The 16,986-nt window shown below is 37.3% G+C and overlaps 1 protein-coding gene across 22 annotated transcripts in view; it reads right to left on the reverse strand.

The window, feature by feature from the left end:
* RALGAPA1 (Ral GTPase activating protein catalytic subunit alpha 1) overlaps positions 1-16,986 on the reverse strand; it is a 270,940-nt gene that overhangs the window by 69,341 nt on the left and 184,613 nt on the right. The gene's annotated exons all lie outside the window — the stretch shown is intronic.

The raw sequence follows: 16,986 nt of genomic DNA on the forward strand, positions 1-16,986 counted from the left end.
AGGACAAAGAACTCTGTAGCAGTTCTGCCTGAAAGGGCTGACATTATTTGCAACAGAGCTTGGAGGAAAGCAATTAAGAGAAGCTGGCAGCCCTATGACAAGCAAAACAGACAGAACTTTAATAGAATCAGGAAACGAGACAGCCAAGAAGGACCCTTTGGGGATCACAGTCAATTTTGGAGTTCAAAAACCCTGTGCACATACACTAGGCTGCACCCAATAAGGAACAATTAGAGTAAGATGTAGGACGGACAGACATGAAAGCATTCCCAAAGTCACACAGAGACTTATCAAAACAAGGTAAATCCTCACTGGCACTGAATAACCTGAACTCAGGGTCGACTCCTGGGAAGCTAAGACTTAAAAATAACATCCAGTCATTCCTTGCAGTCTGGAAGACCGTGTGCATACCCAAGGATGTACCCTCTTTAGAGTAATCAGGAGTGAACCTTCAAGCTATTAGTCTCCTGGTGCATGTGGGACAAAAAAAACATAAACACTCTAAACTGTGATAGTAGCCTCCAAGCCACACACATCCAACAGTAAATGATAAAAATCAAATGGTAAGGGGAAAAAAATCATACTGGTAAGGGGACTAAGCACAAACTTTGACCAATAAGTACGTGATAACCCAGGGAAGACCCCTCATTAGCCAGGCTAAAAGAAAAACAATTTTTAAAAAATCTGAGCATGGAGATCAGAGGCTAATTACTGGGGGGAAACCAAGTTGTTAGAAAATAAACAAATGACCAAGCAAACACCAACCAACAATATATTTTTGGATTCAAAGACACAGATAAAGTTGAAGTCAAAGGAATGGAAACAAGTACCATAAAATAGAAACCAACAGAGCTACAGTGGCTATACTAATGTAAGACTTTAGAACAAAAAATGTTAGAGATAGAGATATTTCATAATGATACAATGTCAACCTAACAGGAAAATATGAAAATTACAAATATATATGCACCCAAAAACAGAGCCCCAAAATACATGATGCAAAACAAAGACAGAGCTGAAGGCAGAAACAGACATTTCCTCAATAATAGTTGAAGATTTTAATATCCCACTTTCAATAATGGACAGAACAACTAGAAAATATCAACAAGGAAACAGAAGACTTGAACAATAATATGACAACCGGACCTACCTGACATCTACAGAATACTCTATCCTACAGTAGCAAAAAATACATTCTTCTCAAGCATATGTGAAACAACTTACAGGATAGACCATAAAACAAGCCTTGGCCAGGTGCGATGGCTTACGCCTGTAATCCCAGCACTTTGGGAGGCTGAGGCGGGTGGATCACGAGGTCAGGAGATCGAGATCATCCTGGCTAACACGGTGTAACCCCGTCTCTACTAAAAATACAAAAAATTAGCCAGGCGTCGGTGGGGGGTGCCTGTAGTCCCAGCTACTTGGGAGGCTGAGGCAGGAGAATGGCGTGAACTTGGGAGGCAGAGGTTGCAGTGAGCCAAGACCGCGCCACTGCACTCCAGCCTAGGCGACAGAGCGACACTCCGTCTCAAAAAAAAAAAACCAAAAAACAAAAAAAAACAAGTCTTGATAAATTTAAACGATTTGAAATCATGCAAGGTATATTTTTTATCCACAATGGAATGAAAGTAGAAATCAATGAAAGAAAATTTGGGTAATTCACAAATGTGTGAAAATGTAACAATTTACTCCTAAATTACCAGTGGGTCAAAGAATAAATCTCAAGGGAAATGAGAAAATACTTAGAGATGAATGAAAATAAAAAATGAAAATAAAAAGAGAGAATGAATGAAAATATGGCCTGTAAGTAAAGAAGTGCTCATTGGGAAATTTACAGATCTAAATGCCTCTATTAAAAAAGATTTCATTCACCTCCTTTCAGAATGAAAGAACAAAAAGTTTTAAAAAAGATTTCATACCAATAACCAAACCTTCCACCTTACAAAACTGGCACAGTGGTTCATACCTGTAATCCCAGTACTTGGGGAGGCCAAGGTAGAAGAACTGCTTGAGCCCAGGAGTTCGAGACCAGCCTGGGCAACACAGAGAGACCCCATCTCTACAAAAAGAAAAAAACCAGCTGGGTGTGATGGTGCACACCAGTGGTCCCAGGGCCCCTACTTGGGGAGGCTAAGATGGGAGGATCACTTGAGCCTGGGAGTTCCAGGCTGCAGTGACCCATGATTGTGCCACTGCACTCCAGCCTGGGTGACACGGTGAGACCCTGTCTCCAAAAAAAAAAAAAAAGAAAAAAAGAAAGCACAATTAAATTCAAAGCAAGCAGAAGAAAGAAAAGAAAATAATAAAGACTACAGTGGAAATAAATAAAATAGAAGAGAAAAACAATAGAGAAAAAAATCAATGAACCCAAAAGTTGGCTCTTTAAGATGATCAACAAAATTAACCATCTTTAGCTAGACTAAGCAATAAAAAAAGACTCAAAATGACTACAGTCAGGAATGAAAGAAGGGACACCACTATATATTTTACAGAAATAAAAAATATTATAAGGAAATGCTATAAGCATTTGTATGCCAACAAATTAAATTAGATAAAATGATCAAATTCCTAGAAAGACACAATTTTTTTCTTTTTTTTTTTTTTGAGATGGAGTCTCGCTCTCTCGCCCAGGCTGGAGTGCAGTGGTGTGATCTCTGCTCACTGCAAGCTCCGCCTCCCGGGTTCACACCATTCTCCTGCCTCAGTCTCCCAAGTGGCTGGGACTACAGGTGCCCACCACCACGCCCGGCTAATTTTTTGTATTTTTAGTACAGATGGGGTTTCACCGTGTTAGCCAGGATGGTTTTGATCTCCTGACCTTGTGATCCGCCCTCCTCCGTCTCCCAAAGTGCTGGGATTACAGATGTGAGCCACTGCGCCTGGCCAAAAGACACAATTTCTAAAACCAACCTTAAAAAGAAACAGAATACCCGAATAGACCTATAACAAATGAAGACATTGAATTAATAATTTGATTAGAAAGGAAGAAGCAAAAATATCTGACTTGCACATGAGGTGACTTTTTATATAGAAAATCCTAAGGAATCCGCTAAAAAGGCTATTAGAGCTAATAAACAAGTTCAGCAAGGCTGCAAGATATAAGATCAAATACACAAAAACTGATGTTCCATACACTAGCAATAAACAAGCCAAAAACAAAAAACAAAATTTTAAAAATTCTTTTATAATAGCACCCAAAAGAATAATACTTGGGTATAAATTTACTGTGAAGTGCAAAACTTATATTTTGAAAATTATAAAACATTGTTGAAAGAAATTAAAGATCTACATTAAAAAAAAGTCATGTTCATGGGCCTAAAGACTTAATATTGTTAAGATGATAGCATCCCCCAAACTGATCTACAGATTTAATGTAATCCCTATCAAAATCCCAGCTGCCTTTGAAATAGAAATTGGCAAGCTTGGCTGAGTGTGGTCACTCATGCCTGTAATCCCAACACTTTGTGAGGCTGAGGCAGGAGGACTACTTGAGGCCAAGAGTTTAAGACCAGCCTGGGGCCGGGCATGGTGGTTCATGCCTATAATCCCAGCACTTAGGGAGGCCAAGGCGGGTGGATCATGAGGTCAAGAGATAGAGGGGGCGAGACCATTCTGGCCAACATGGTGAAACCTCATCTCTACTAAAAATACAAAAATCAGCTGGGTGTGGTTGCGTGCGCTTGTAGTCCCAGCTACTCGGGAGGCTGAGGCAGGAGAATCACTTGAACCTGGGAGGTGGAGGATGCAGTGAGCTGAGATCATGCCACTGCACTCCAGCCTAGTGACAGCGAGACTCCATCTCAAAAAAGAAAAAAAAAAAAGGAAAAAGAAAAACACCCAGCCTGGGCAACACAGTGAGACCCCGTCTCTACAAAAAAAAAAAATTGGCTGGGCATGGTGGCACATGCCTGTAGTCCTAGCTACTGGGGAGGATGAGGTGAGGTGGGAGGATCACTTGAGCCCAGGAGTTCCAGGCTGCAGTGAGCTCTGATCATGCCATTGCACTCTAGGCTGGGCAAAAGAGTGAGACTCTATCTCCACAAAAAAGAAAAAGAGAAAACAGGAAAAAAACCCTCTGAAATTGACTAGCTCATCCTAAAATTCACAGGAAAATGTAATAGACCCAAAATGGCCAAAACAATCTTGAAAAAGAATAGAATTGGAGAACTCATACTTCTTGATTTCAAAACTTGCTACAAAAGTCATCAAAGCACTCATAGTAATGATGTAAGATGAGACATACAAATCAGTGGAACAGAATCATGTGACCAGAAATAAACTCATATTTATAGTTAATTGCTTTTTGATAATGGTATCAAGACATTTCAATGAATAGTGTTTTCAACAAATGGTACTGGGACAACGAGATATCTACATGAAAAAGAATGAAGTTGGGGCCAGGCACAATGGCTCATGCCTGTAATCCCAGCACTTTGGGAGGCTGTTAGGAAGACTGCTAGAGCTCAGGAGTTCAAGACCAGCCTAGACAACATAGTGAGACCTCATCTCTACAAAAATTTAAAAATTGGCCAGGCGTGGTGGCATGCGTCTGCAGTCCCAGCTACCTGGGAGGCTGATGCAGGAAGATCACTTGAGCCCAGGAAGTTGAGGTTGCAGTGAGCTGTGACTGCATCACTGTACCCCAGCCTGGGTGACAGAATGAAACTCTGTTTCAAAAAAAAAAAAAAAAAAAAAGAAGTCAGACTCTTCCACCATATAAAAAATTGAATCAAATGACTCATAAATCAAAAATGTAAGGGCGGAAACTATAAAACTCATTAAAACAAAAAATAAAAAACAACAAAGGATCTTACATTAGGCGAGGTCTTCTTCTTCTTCTTCTTCTTTTTTTTTTTTTTTGAGACAGAGTCTTGCTCTGTCGCCCAGGCTGGAGTGCAGTGGCGCAATCTCGGCTCACTGCAAGCTCCGCTTCCCAGGTTCATGCCACTCTCCTGCCTCAGCCTCCTGAGTGGCTGGGACTACAGGCGCCCGCCACCACGCCCCGCTAATTTTTTGTATTTTTAGTAGAGATGGGGTTTCACCATGTTAGCCAGGATGGTCTCGATCTCCTGACCTCGTGATCCGCCCTCCTTGGCCTCCTAAAGTGCGGGGATTACAGGTGTGAGCCACCGTGCCCGGCCTAGGCAAGGTCTTTTTAAATACAACACAAAAACACAAGTGACAAAATAAAAATAGGTAAACTGAACTTTGTCAAAATTAAATTTTTTGTGCTATGAGTGATGCCATCATGAAAGTGAAATGACAATTTACAGAATGAGAAAAAAATTGCAAATCATATATCTGATAAAGAACTTGTATCTAGAACATACATATAAAGAACTTTAAAGTCAATAGTAAAAGACCAATTTTATTTTATTTTGTATTTTATTCTTTTTTTTTTTTGAGATGGAGTCTCCCTCTGTCATCCAGGCTGGAGGGCAGTGGCACGATGTTGGCTCACTGCAGCCTCTGCTTCCTGGGTTCAAGCGATTCTAGTGTCTCAGCCTCCTGAGTAACAGGGATTACAGGTGTGCACCACCATGCTTGGCTAATTTTTGTATTTTTAGTAGAGACGGGGTTTCACTATGTTGGCCAGGCTGGTCTTGAACTCCTGACCTCATGTGATCCACCTGCCTTGGCCTCCCAAAGTGCTGGGATTACAGGTGTGAGCCTCCACGCCCAGTCACATAACCCAATTTAAAAAATAGGCAAAGACGTTTATATTATTTTCCTAGGGTTTCTGTAACAAATTACACAAACTAGGTTGCTTTCAACAAAAAATATTTATTCTCTCACAGTGCTGTATGCTAAAAGTCAGAAATCAAGGCATAGACAGGGCCATGCACCTTCCAAAGGTTCTAGGGGAGCATCCTTCCTTGCCTCTTCTAAGATTCTAGCTGTTGCTGACAATTCTTCAGCATTTCTTGGCTTGTGGCTGTATGACTACAATTTCTGCTTCCATCTCTACATACCCATCTTTCCCGTGTATGCAGAAGTGTTTCTTCACGTGGCTTTCTTATAAGGACACAAGTAATCAGATTTAGGGTCAAATCTAGTGCAGTGTGACCTCATCATAACTCTGAAAACTCTACTTCCAAATTGCACTCTGAGTTTCAGGGTGGACATGAGATTCTGAGAGAATACAATTCAACCCAGTACACATTTAAATAGGCATTTTTTCAAAGAACATATATATAGTCAATTATCATAGCAATGAAAAATACTCATGATAAGTCATTAGGGAAATGCAAATCAAAATCATGAGATATTTTAGGCTGATCAAAGCTGTACAGGAAAAAGCAATACTAAAAAAATCTCACAAACTCACAAGATTCCACTTTATATCCACTAAGACGAGTATAATAAAAAAGAATGACAATAACGAGTGTAGGCTAGGGCATGGAGAGTATGTAACACTCATACACCATCGGTGGGAAGGTAAAATGGTACAGCTGGTGTGTAAAACAGTTTGCAGTTCCTCCAATGGTGAAACAGAGAGTTATCATATCATCCAGCAATTCTACTCCTAGGTATATATTCAAAACATGTCCACACAAAAAACTGTACATGAATGTTCACAGCAGCATTATTCATATTCGCCCAAAAGTGAAACCAACTGAAATGTCCATCGACTGATGAATGGATAAACAAATATTTATCAATATAATGAGATATTTTCTGGTAATAAAAAGAAATAAAGTAGAAACATGCTGCATCGTGAATGAACTTTGAAATCATCATGCTAAGTAAAAAAAAAGCTGCCACAAAAACCCACATATTATTTGATTCCATTTATATGAAATTTCCAGAATAGGCAAATTTATAGAGACAGAAAGTAGATATGTGTTATCTAAGGCTGGGGGGAAAGAAAGGCTGGTGGGTAATGGATACCAGGTTTCTTTTCAGAGGGACTAAAATAATCTAAAAATGAGATTGGGGTGATAGTTGTACAACCCTGTGAATATACTAAAAATATGTACACTTTAAATGAATTAACTGTATTGCATGTAAAATATGTCTCAGTCAAGATATTAAAATTTTAATTTGAAAGCATCTATTAAGTGTAAATTCTAATTGTGAAAGAAAAAAAACTCAGTGTTTTTGCTTCTTCAGGTAAAGGGCTATCAATTAGAGCTCATAAATAATAATTTATAAAATTGAGAAGAGCTGGATAGAAATCTTCATCTAATACTATATAAATTTAAAAGGTGAGAGAAGTATATGTGCCATATAGGAAAAAAACAGAAAATAAATCTTTAAAATGCAATAAAAGAGAAGCAGAGTTCAGCTGCCCTTTATGTCAATTAATCTTTCACTACTCCTTCTTATTTTTCTCCTTACTAACTATGGCTGCTAAAATGTTTTATATTGTCATTAGATTAATATGCACCACAATAGTGAATAATGAGGCAAATGTATTAGAAAAAATAGTTAAAATTAGTGAACTTGCAACTACAAATGTTCTATAAGAATATGTATAGTACTGGCAAAATATTATTAGCTCACTACTGGAAAACTCAAAGTGACATCTGTCAAGTTTTAAGCATTTCTAAATCCCTGTATATACCTTGCAATAAAATAATAATACATATCATTTTGTGATTTGAAATTTAAAACTCTGGTGGTTCAACCACAAGGAATAGGAAACAATTAGTCTAGGCAAAGAAAATAAAGAATCTATAAATGGTCTAGTGAGGTAAGTCTGTTAACAAAGTAATCTTTCATTTTCTCCCGCCCTAGTCCTCCCTAGACAAGTAATCAGGTTTGTTTCCAGGTTTCCTGGTTTAAGAGGAAAGCTCAAAAATTGTCTTACTGTCATGTAATTAGAATGAATTCTTACTTGAGCTCATTGTATTGAAAAAACTATGTAGTTTTCTTTAAAATTATTTTTAAAAAGCAAACAAATAAATGTCATGCATTCATTTAATGTAGTGTATAAAAAAATGTATGCTGACTCAAGGCAATGTCTCCCCTTCAAGGTATGCATGAGAATGGAGGTTTGTATGAGAATTGAGGTATGTATTCATACCACAATTCATTCAAGGTATGTATGAGAACGGAGGCAGTTTAGCAGGAGCCAAGAAATAAAAAAGCATAAGGTAATTTAAATAAACTGAATAGCCAAGATGGCTGGTATGGGTTGAGCTCTAGACTGAAGAGTCTGGCCAGGCATTATTACGGAGTCACTAAGGAGTGTTCTCATTAACATCAAATTTTAACATTAGAAAGATTATGTTAGTGGTCAGGATTGTCTAGATGGGGAAGAGTCAGGAGATGAGATCCCACAGAGTACTTAGACAGTTGTTAAAACTGTCTTGGAAAGAAGTGATAAGGACATGAATCAATGAGTTGGGAGCGGTAAAGGCAAGAAGAGACAGAGTTGAGAGATAAAAAGAAGAATGGACATCATGATTATGAAAACCTAAAGGCAAGGGAAAGGGAAATGGTCAAATTTGGGTAACTCTGAAAGGGTACTTCTAAACATAAATATGACCATCAGGAGGAAGATCCGATTTTGAAAAGAAATGTGACCTAGAAATGATAGTAGAGAGGCAGGTAAAAGAAAAATGAGGGAGATACCTATGTTATGAAGGTAAGAAACAGAAAATGAACCAGTGAAGACCTGGAATAATTAGAGAATTAGGAGTTGAACTGAGTAATTTTAGTGTCATAGAAGTTGGGGCAGAGGACTTTAAAATGATCAGAGAGAATTTTAAAAAGACAAAATAGATAACAATATTAGATATTTAATATAGGGGATTTAATATACAATAGATTTTTAGAGCAGTGAAACTATTCTGTGTGATACGCTAATGGTAGATACATGTCAGTACACATTTATCAAAACCAATAGAAAGAATGAGCCCTAATGTAAACTTTGGACTTCAGACACTAATGTAAGATGTAAATAATAGGGGAAACTCTACAGGGGGAATGGAGAATATATGGAAACTCTGTACTTTCCTATCAGTTCTTTTGTAAATCGAAAACTGCTCTAGTTTTAAAACACACCTATGAAGTTAAATTTAAATTTAATCAGATAAATTAATGAGGCTGGTGAGGACTAAAAGAACTTTAGACTTGATGGTCAGGATGCTAACCTTCAGAAAGACAGTTTCAGTATAGCAGTAGAGGTAGGAGCTAGGTAGTTCTGAGGTAAGCAAGACAGAAAAAGTGGTATGATTCCTGTTCCCAAGGACTTGACCATCTAGTACCAAGATATATTGTTATGGAGAACAATCAGAATTGAGAACCCACAGACTACTTAGAGAGTTCTTATAACCGTCTTGGAAAGAATAAGAATAGCTAAACAATAATGATAATAATAACTATGCTATATGATAAATGCTATGACAGGGACATGCTACAGGGTTCTGTGAAAGCATATGGAAGGAGATTCAAACATAGTCTGGGAAGGAAGGTGAAGCATAGGAGTAGATTAAGGTAAAGCTTTCCATATAAAGTGATGTTTAAGCTGAGACTTCAGGAGTGGACAGGAGGGGGACTGGGAATGGTGGTTCACACCTGTAATCCCAGCACTTTGGGAGGCTGAGGCGGGTGGATCACCTAAGGCGAGGAGTTACAGATCAGTCTGGCCAACATGGTGAAACCCCGTCTCTACTAAAAATACAAAAATTAGGCTGGGCACAGTGGCGCATGCCTGTAATCCCAGCACTTTGGGAGGCTGAGGCAGGCAGATCGCTTGAGGTCAGGAGTTCGAGACCAGCTTGGCCAATATGGTGAAACCCCATTTCTACTAAAAATACAAAAATTAGCTGGGCGTGGTGGCGCATGCCTGTAATCCCAGCTACTCAGGAGTCTGAGGCAGGAGAATCACTTGAACCCCGAAGGCGGAGGTTGCAGTGAGCCGTTATCATGTCATTGAACTCCAGCCTGGGTGACAACAGCAAAACTCCATCCTGTGTGTGTGTGTGTGGGGTGGGGGGGGGGGGGGGAAGGGGGTGAATTTACAGCCTAAGATTATTTCATTGTTAAATAATAAAGTATGAAACAAAGATAAATAGAAATCAATTCCAGATATAAGAAAAAGGAAATAAACTTTATAAAAAAGAAAATAATGAAACAGAAAATAATGAGTTAGAAACAGAACATAACAGAATGTAACAAATTAGGACCTGTTTCTTTGAAAAGACTGAGCAGATTGTCTGCATCAAGAAAATTTTAAAAAACCACAAAAAACTAAAATGAAAAAGAAAATTTAATAAAAATTATAACACCATGTATGAATCTCTACTAGTATCTATTTAGAAGTCTCAATGAAATGGATTTTTAGAAAATAGAAAACAAAACAAAACAAAAAGTAAAATTTTCCCAAGAGCTAAAACCTGGAAAGAGTAATAAGGATGAAACAAACTGAAAGAAAAATTAGAAATGTTATGATTTCTTCCAAAACTTTAAGCAACAGATAATATTCATGTTATGAAGCTGGGTATAACCTCAATTCTAAAAACATAACAGGAACAGGACAAAAAATAACTACATAATCTGCTAATAGTGGACTATAACCGAACTCAAAATGAAATTCTGGTAAATCTAACACAACGAGAAGCCAAAAGATCAGGCAGGGTTTAGCTCAAAAATGCAAATATCATTTGATATTAGCAGTCTAGTGATATTAAAATACAATATACACCAATTAGTTAAAAAATCAAAACTATATGAAAATTTGAATAGATGCTGAAAATAATTTTGATATAATTTAACATCCTTTCCATATAAGAACTCCTAGAAAACAGGGTACTTTTTCAGCACAATAAAAATTATCTTTTTAAAACTAATAACTAATATCTTCCTTAATGATGAAACAGAAGAGTTGTTTTCATCAGAATCAGGAAAGACAAGGATGTCCACTGTTACTATACTATTAAACACTATCCTGCAAGTTCTGGTCAGTGCAATAAGACGTGATATAAGCAAAGACAAGCATAACTACTAGAAAGGAGATTATCTGTAGATAATGATTATATATCTAGACAAATCCTGAGACAGACAATAAAATGCTTAAAATCAATAAGAGAATTCACTTCAGTGTTTGTAAACAAAGTAAATATTAAAAAGAGAAAAACCTAGAAAACGTAATGGGGGAAAAATCCTATTCAGAATATCAATAAAACAATAAAACACCTAGAAATATACAAACAAGAAATGTCTGGGTCTCAGAATAAATGAAAACATACTATAATTACTAATGGGAAGAATGATGATTATGATGGTGCTTTGCTTTTTCTACATGAGAGTTTTATTGAATATCCAATCAAATACCAATGGGATTTTTTTTTCTGAAAAACAACAGCATAATTTTAAATGTATCTGGAAGAATAAGTAGGTGAGACTATCAAAGAAAAGAGGAATAATGTGTGTGGGTGCAGTGAGGAAGAAGACTTGGCCTATCAGATATTAAAATATATTATAAAGCTATATTAAAGTGTAATATTTACACAAAAATGATAGACAAATCTAACCAGAAGACTGTAAGTGTTAGAAGGAGCAAGATTACATGAAAAAAGATAAATAAATAAAAGAGTACAACTAGAATGTAACAAAAAGAATGAATACCCCATTTTCCATGATGTGATTTATTACACACTGCATGTCTGTATCAAAACATCTTATGTACCCCATTAAATATATACACCTACAGGGAAATTTATAGCACTAAATGCCCACAAGAGAAAGCAGGAAAGATCTAAAATCGACACCCTAACATCACGATTAAAAGAACTAGAGAAGCAAGAGCAAACAAATTCAAAAGCTAGCAGAAGGCAAGAAATAACTAAGATCAGAGCAGAACTGAAAGAGATAAGAGACACAAAAAACCCTTCAAATAAATCAATGAATCCAGGAGCTGGTTTTTTGAAAAGATCAACAAAATTCATAGACTGCTAGCAAGACTAATAAAGAAGAAAAGAGAAGAATCAAATAGACACAATAAAAAATGACAAAGGGGGTATCACCACCAATCCCACAGAAGTACAAACTATCATCAGAGAATACTTAAACACCTCTAAGCAAATAAACTAGAAAATCTAGAAGAAATGGATAAAGTCCTGGACACATACACCCTCCCAGGACTAAACCAGGAAGAAGTTGAATCTCCGAATAGACCAATAACAGGCTCTGAAATTAAGGCAATAATTAATAGCCTACAAACCAAAAACAGTCCAGGACTACAAACCAAAAACAGTCCAGGACCAGACGGATTCACAGCCAAATTCTACCAGAGGTACAAAGAAGAGCTGGTACCATTCCTTCTGAAACTATTCCAATCAATAGAAAAAGAGGGAATCCTCCCTAACTCATTTTATGAGGCCAACATCATCCTGATATCAAAGCCTGGCAGACACAACAAAAAAAGAGAATATTACATCAATATCCCTGATGCAAAAATCCTCAATGAAATACTGGCAAACCAAATCCAGCAGCACGTCAAAAAGCTTATTCACCACGATCAAGTCGGCTTCATCCCTGGGATGCAAGGATGGTCCAACATACGCAAATCAATAAACGTCATCCATCATATAAACAGAACCAATGACAAAAACCACATGATTATCTTAATAGATGCAGAAAAGGCCTTTGACAAAATTCAACAGCTCTTCATGCTAAAAACTCTCAATAAACTAGGTACTGATGCAACGTATCTCAAAATAACTAGAGCTATTTTATGACAAACCCACAGCCAATATCATACTGAATGGGCAAAAACTGGAAGCATTCCCTTTGAAAACTGGTACAAGACAAGGATGCCCTCTCTCACCACTCCTATTCAACATAGTGTTGGAAGTTCTGGCCAGGGCAATCAAGCAGGAGAAAGAAATAAAGGGTATTCAATTAGGAAATGAGGAAGTCAAATTGTTCCTATTTGCAGATGACATGATCGTATATTTAGAAAACCCCATCGTCTCAGCCCAAAATCTCCTTAAGCTGACAAGCAACTTCGGCAAAGTCTCAGGATACAAAATCAATGTGCAAAAATCACAAGCATTCCTATACATCATTAACAGACAAACAAGAGAGTCAAATCATGAGTGAACTCCCATTCACAATTGCTACAAAGAGAATAAAATACCTAGGAATCCAACTTACAATGGATGTGAAGTTCTCGTCAAGGAGAACTACAAACCACTGCTCAACAAAATAAAAGAGGACACAAACAAATGGAAGAATGCTCATGCTCATGGAGAGGAAGAATCAATATCATGAAAATGGCCATACTGCCCAAGGTAATTTATAGATTCAATGCCATCCCCATCAAGCTACCAGTGACTTTCTTCACAGAATTGGAAAAAAACTGCTTTAAAGTTCATATGGAACCAAAAAAGAGCCCACATTGTCAAGACAATCCTAAGCAAAAAGAACAAAGCTGGAGGCATCATGCTACCTGACTTCAAACATACTACAAGGCTACAGTAACCAAAACAGCATGGTACTGGTACCAAAACAGATATATAGACCAACAGAACAGAACAGAGCCCTCAGAAATAATACCACACATCTACGACCATCTAATCTTTGACAAACCTGACAAAAACAAGAAATAGGGGAAAGGATTCCCTATTTAATAAATGGTGCTGGGAAAACTGGTTAGCCATATGTAGAAAGCTGAAACTGGATCCCTTCCTTACACCTTATACAAAAATTAATTCAAGATGGATTAAAGACTTAATTATTAGACCTAAAACCATCAAAACCCTAGAAGAAAACCTAGGAAATACCATTCAGGACATAGGCATGCGCGAGGACTTCATGACTAAAACACCAAAATCAATGGCAACAAAAGCCAAAATTGACAAATGGGATCTGATTAAACTAAAGAGCTTCTGCACAACAAAAGAAACTGTCATCAGAGTGAACAGGCAACCTACAGAATGGAAGAAAATTTTTGCAATCTACCCTTCTGACAAAGGGCTAATACCCAGAATCTACAATGAACTCAAACAAATTTACAAGAAAAAAACAAACAACGCCATCAAAAAGTGGGCAAAGGATATGAACAGACACTTCTCAAAAGAAGACATCTATGCAACCAACAGACACATGAAAAAATGCTCATCATCACTGGTCATTAGAGAAATGCAAATCAAAACCACAATGAGATACCATCTCACAACAGTTAGAATGGCAATCATTAAAAAGTCAGGAAACAACAGATGCTGGAGAGGATGTGGAGAAACAGGAACGCTTTTACACTGTTGGTGGGAGTGTAAATTAATTCAACCATTGTGGAAGACAGTGTGGCGATTCCTCAAGGATCTAGAACTAGAATTACCATTTGACCCAGCAATACCGTTACTGGGTATATACCCAAAGGATTATAAATCATGCTACTATAAAGACACATGTACACATATGTTTACTGCGGCACTATTCACAATAGCAAAGACTTGGAACCAACCCAAATGTCCATCAATGATAGACTGAATTAAGAAACTGTGGCACATATACACCACGGAATACTATGCAGCCATAAAAAAGGATGAGTTAATGTCCTTTGCAGGGACATGGACGAAGCTAGAAACCATCATTCTCAGCAAACTATCACAAGGATAGAAAACCAAACACCACATGTGCTCATCCATAGGTGGGAATTGAACAATGAGATCACTTGGACATAGGGTGGGGAATATCACACATTGGGGCCTGTTGGGGGATTGGGGGCTGGGGTAGGGATAGAATTAGGAGAAATACCTAATGTAAATGATGAGTTGATGGGTGCAGAAAACCAACATGGCACATGTATACGTATGTAACAAACCTGCACGTTGTGCACATGTACCCTAAAACTTAAAGTATAATACAAAAAAAGTAAATAAATATATACACTTACAATGTGCCCACAAAAATAAAACATAAAATAAAAATGATAGACAAAGCAACAGAAATAAACAGCTGTGAAGCAGAGAGCTTAATATTTAATAAAGGAAGCATCAAATCAATGGCAAAGGTATAGTTTATTCAACAAATTATTAAAATAGACTGTTTTTCAACATTCAAACTAGTTCCAGTTATCATTCCACAAATCAGAATATATTTCAAAATGAATAAAGAATTAAATGTAAAATAATTACCACCTCAATGAAATAAAGATCTAGAAGGACAGGCTGGGCACAATGGCTCATGCCTATAATCCCAGCACTTTGGGAGGCTGAGGCAGGTGAATCACTTGAGGCTAGGTGTTCAAGGCCAGCCTGGCCAACATGGCAAAACCCTGTCTCTTATACTAAAAGTACAAAATTAGCCAGGTGTGATGTGTGGTCAGAAGGCTGAGGCACATGAATCACTTGAACCTGGGAGGTAGAGACTGCAGTGAGCTGAAGTTGTGCCATTGCACTTCCAGCCTGGGCAACAGAGGAAGACTCTGTCTCAAAAAAAAAAAAAAAAAAATCTAGAGAGAAATAAGGAAATGTACTAGAATATTTAACTGATTTCAAGACAGAACTGTTTAAGCACAACAAATAATTCAAGAAATCCAAAGAAAAAAATTGAGAGAAATGATACATAAAACGAAAAAATATGTAGGTTAAATGATCTGAAGTTGACAACTGAAAACTAAACAACCAGGAAAGCTCCCACGAATAGCACGAAAGTTAATCTCTCTCTCTCTCTCACACACACAGACATACACACACACAGACACACAGACATACACACACACACGGAGAGTTCTTACAATTAAGAAAAATTCCTAAATAGATAACTAGAAAAAGAACACCAACAGAGAATTTGAAAACAGATGAAAATTTCCTACAAATATGTGGAAAATATTAACATCACTAGCAGAAGAGAAAAAAAAATTAAAGAGGTACCATGATCTGCTTCTCAAGCTATAAAGGTTAAAAAAGGGTGATTAGTATCTGGTGATGGCCAGGTTGAAGTTATATAGGTGTTGTTACAAAATGTTGGTGAAATTACAAATTATTACTTAATAGAAGCAATTTCCCAATATACATGGCATGAAATATCCTGATACGATTTGACCTAAATAATTCTATTCCTGGGACTCTATCCTGCGGCAAGAAATTAAAAACAACTTAAATGTCCAACAATCATAAAACCTGGCATCATAAAAGATTATTTTTAGGCCGGGCGCGGTGGCTCACGCCTGTAATCCCAGCACTTTGGGAGGCCAAGGCGGGTGGATCACGAGGTCAGGCGATCGAGACCATTCTGGCTAACATGGTGAAACCCTGTTTCTACTAAAAATACAAAAACAAAATTAGCTGGGCGTGGTGGCGGGCAAGTGCCTGTAGTCCCAGCTACTCTGAAGGCTGAGACAGGAGACTGGCGTGAACCCGGGAGGCGGAGGTTGCAGTGAGCCGAGATCGCACCACTGCACTCCAGCCTGAGCGACACAGCAAGACTCCATCTCAAAAAAAAAAAAAGTTATCTTTGAAGAGTATCTAAATGACTGAGGAAATGCTCACAATATAATACAACGCAAAAAAAAAAAAAAAAAACAACTTGGTAATATCCCTATGATTCCAGTTCCGTAAAAAAAAAAAAAAAAAAAAGGAGTCCAGTGTTATATAGATTATATTTTTGTTTTATATTTTCTGTAATAACCAAATAATTATTTTTAAGATCATTTTGAGAAAAGCTAAAAACAACAACCAAAACCAGTTAGAAATTACAGGAAGTGAGTAAAGATCATATTTCTCCATAAATTTGGTAGTAAAAGGAATGAGAGATCTGGATAGGACTATAGCTTGAAAGTAGAGTAACTGAGGAAAGTTTTGTTTTATGCTTTGTTTTGTTTAAAGGCAGATAACAAACAAGTTTATTAAGAGGAACACGAAGAAATATAACATAAAGAGGAGATAACTTTTTGAAGACGATCCTGAAGCAGGCAGAGATGGCAGAAAGCAGAAGTACAAATAGAAAAAAAAAAAGGCTTTTCTCAAACTGAAGGTGAGCAAGAAACGATGGCTCAATACAGAAATTTTAAAGAAGAGAGGAAGATATAGA

Source organism: Homo sapiens, chromosome 14 (assembly GCF_000001405.40).
Source record: "Homo sapiens chromosome 14, GRCh38.p14 Primary Assembly".
In the NCBI taxonomy this organism is placed as follows: Eukaryota; Metazoa; Chordata; class Mammalia; order Primates; family Hominidae; genus Homo; species Homo sapiens.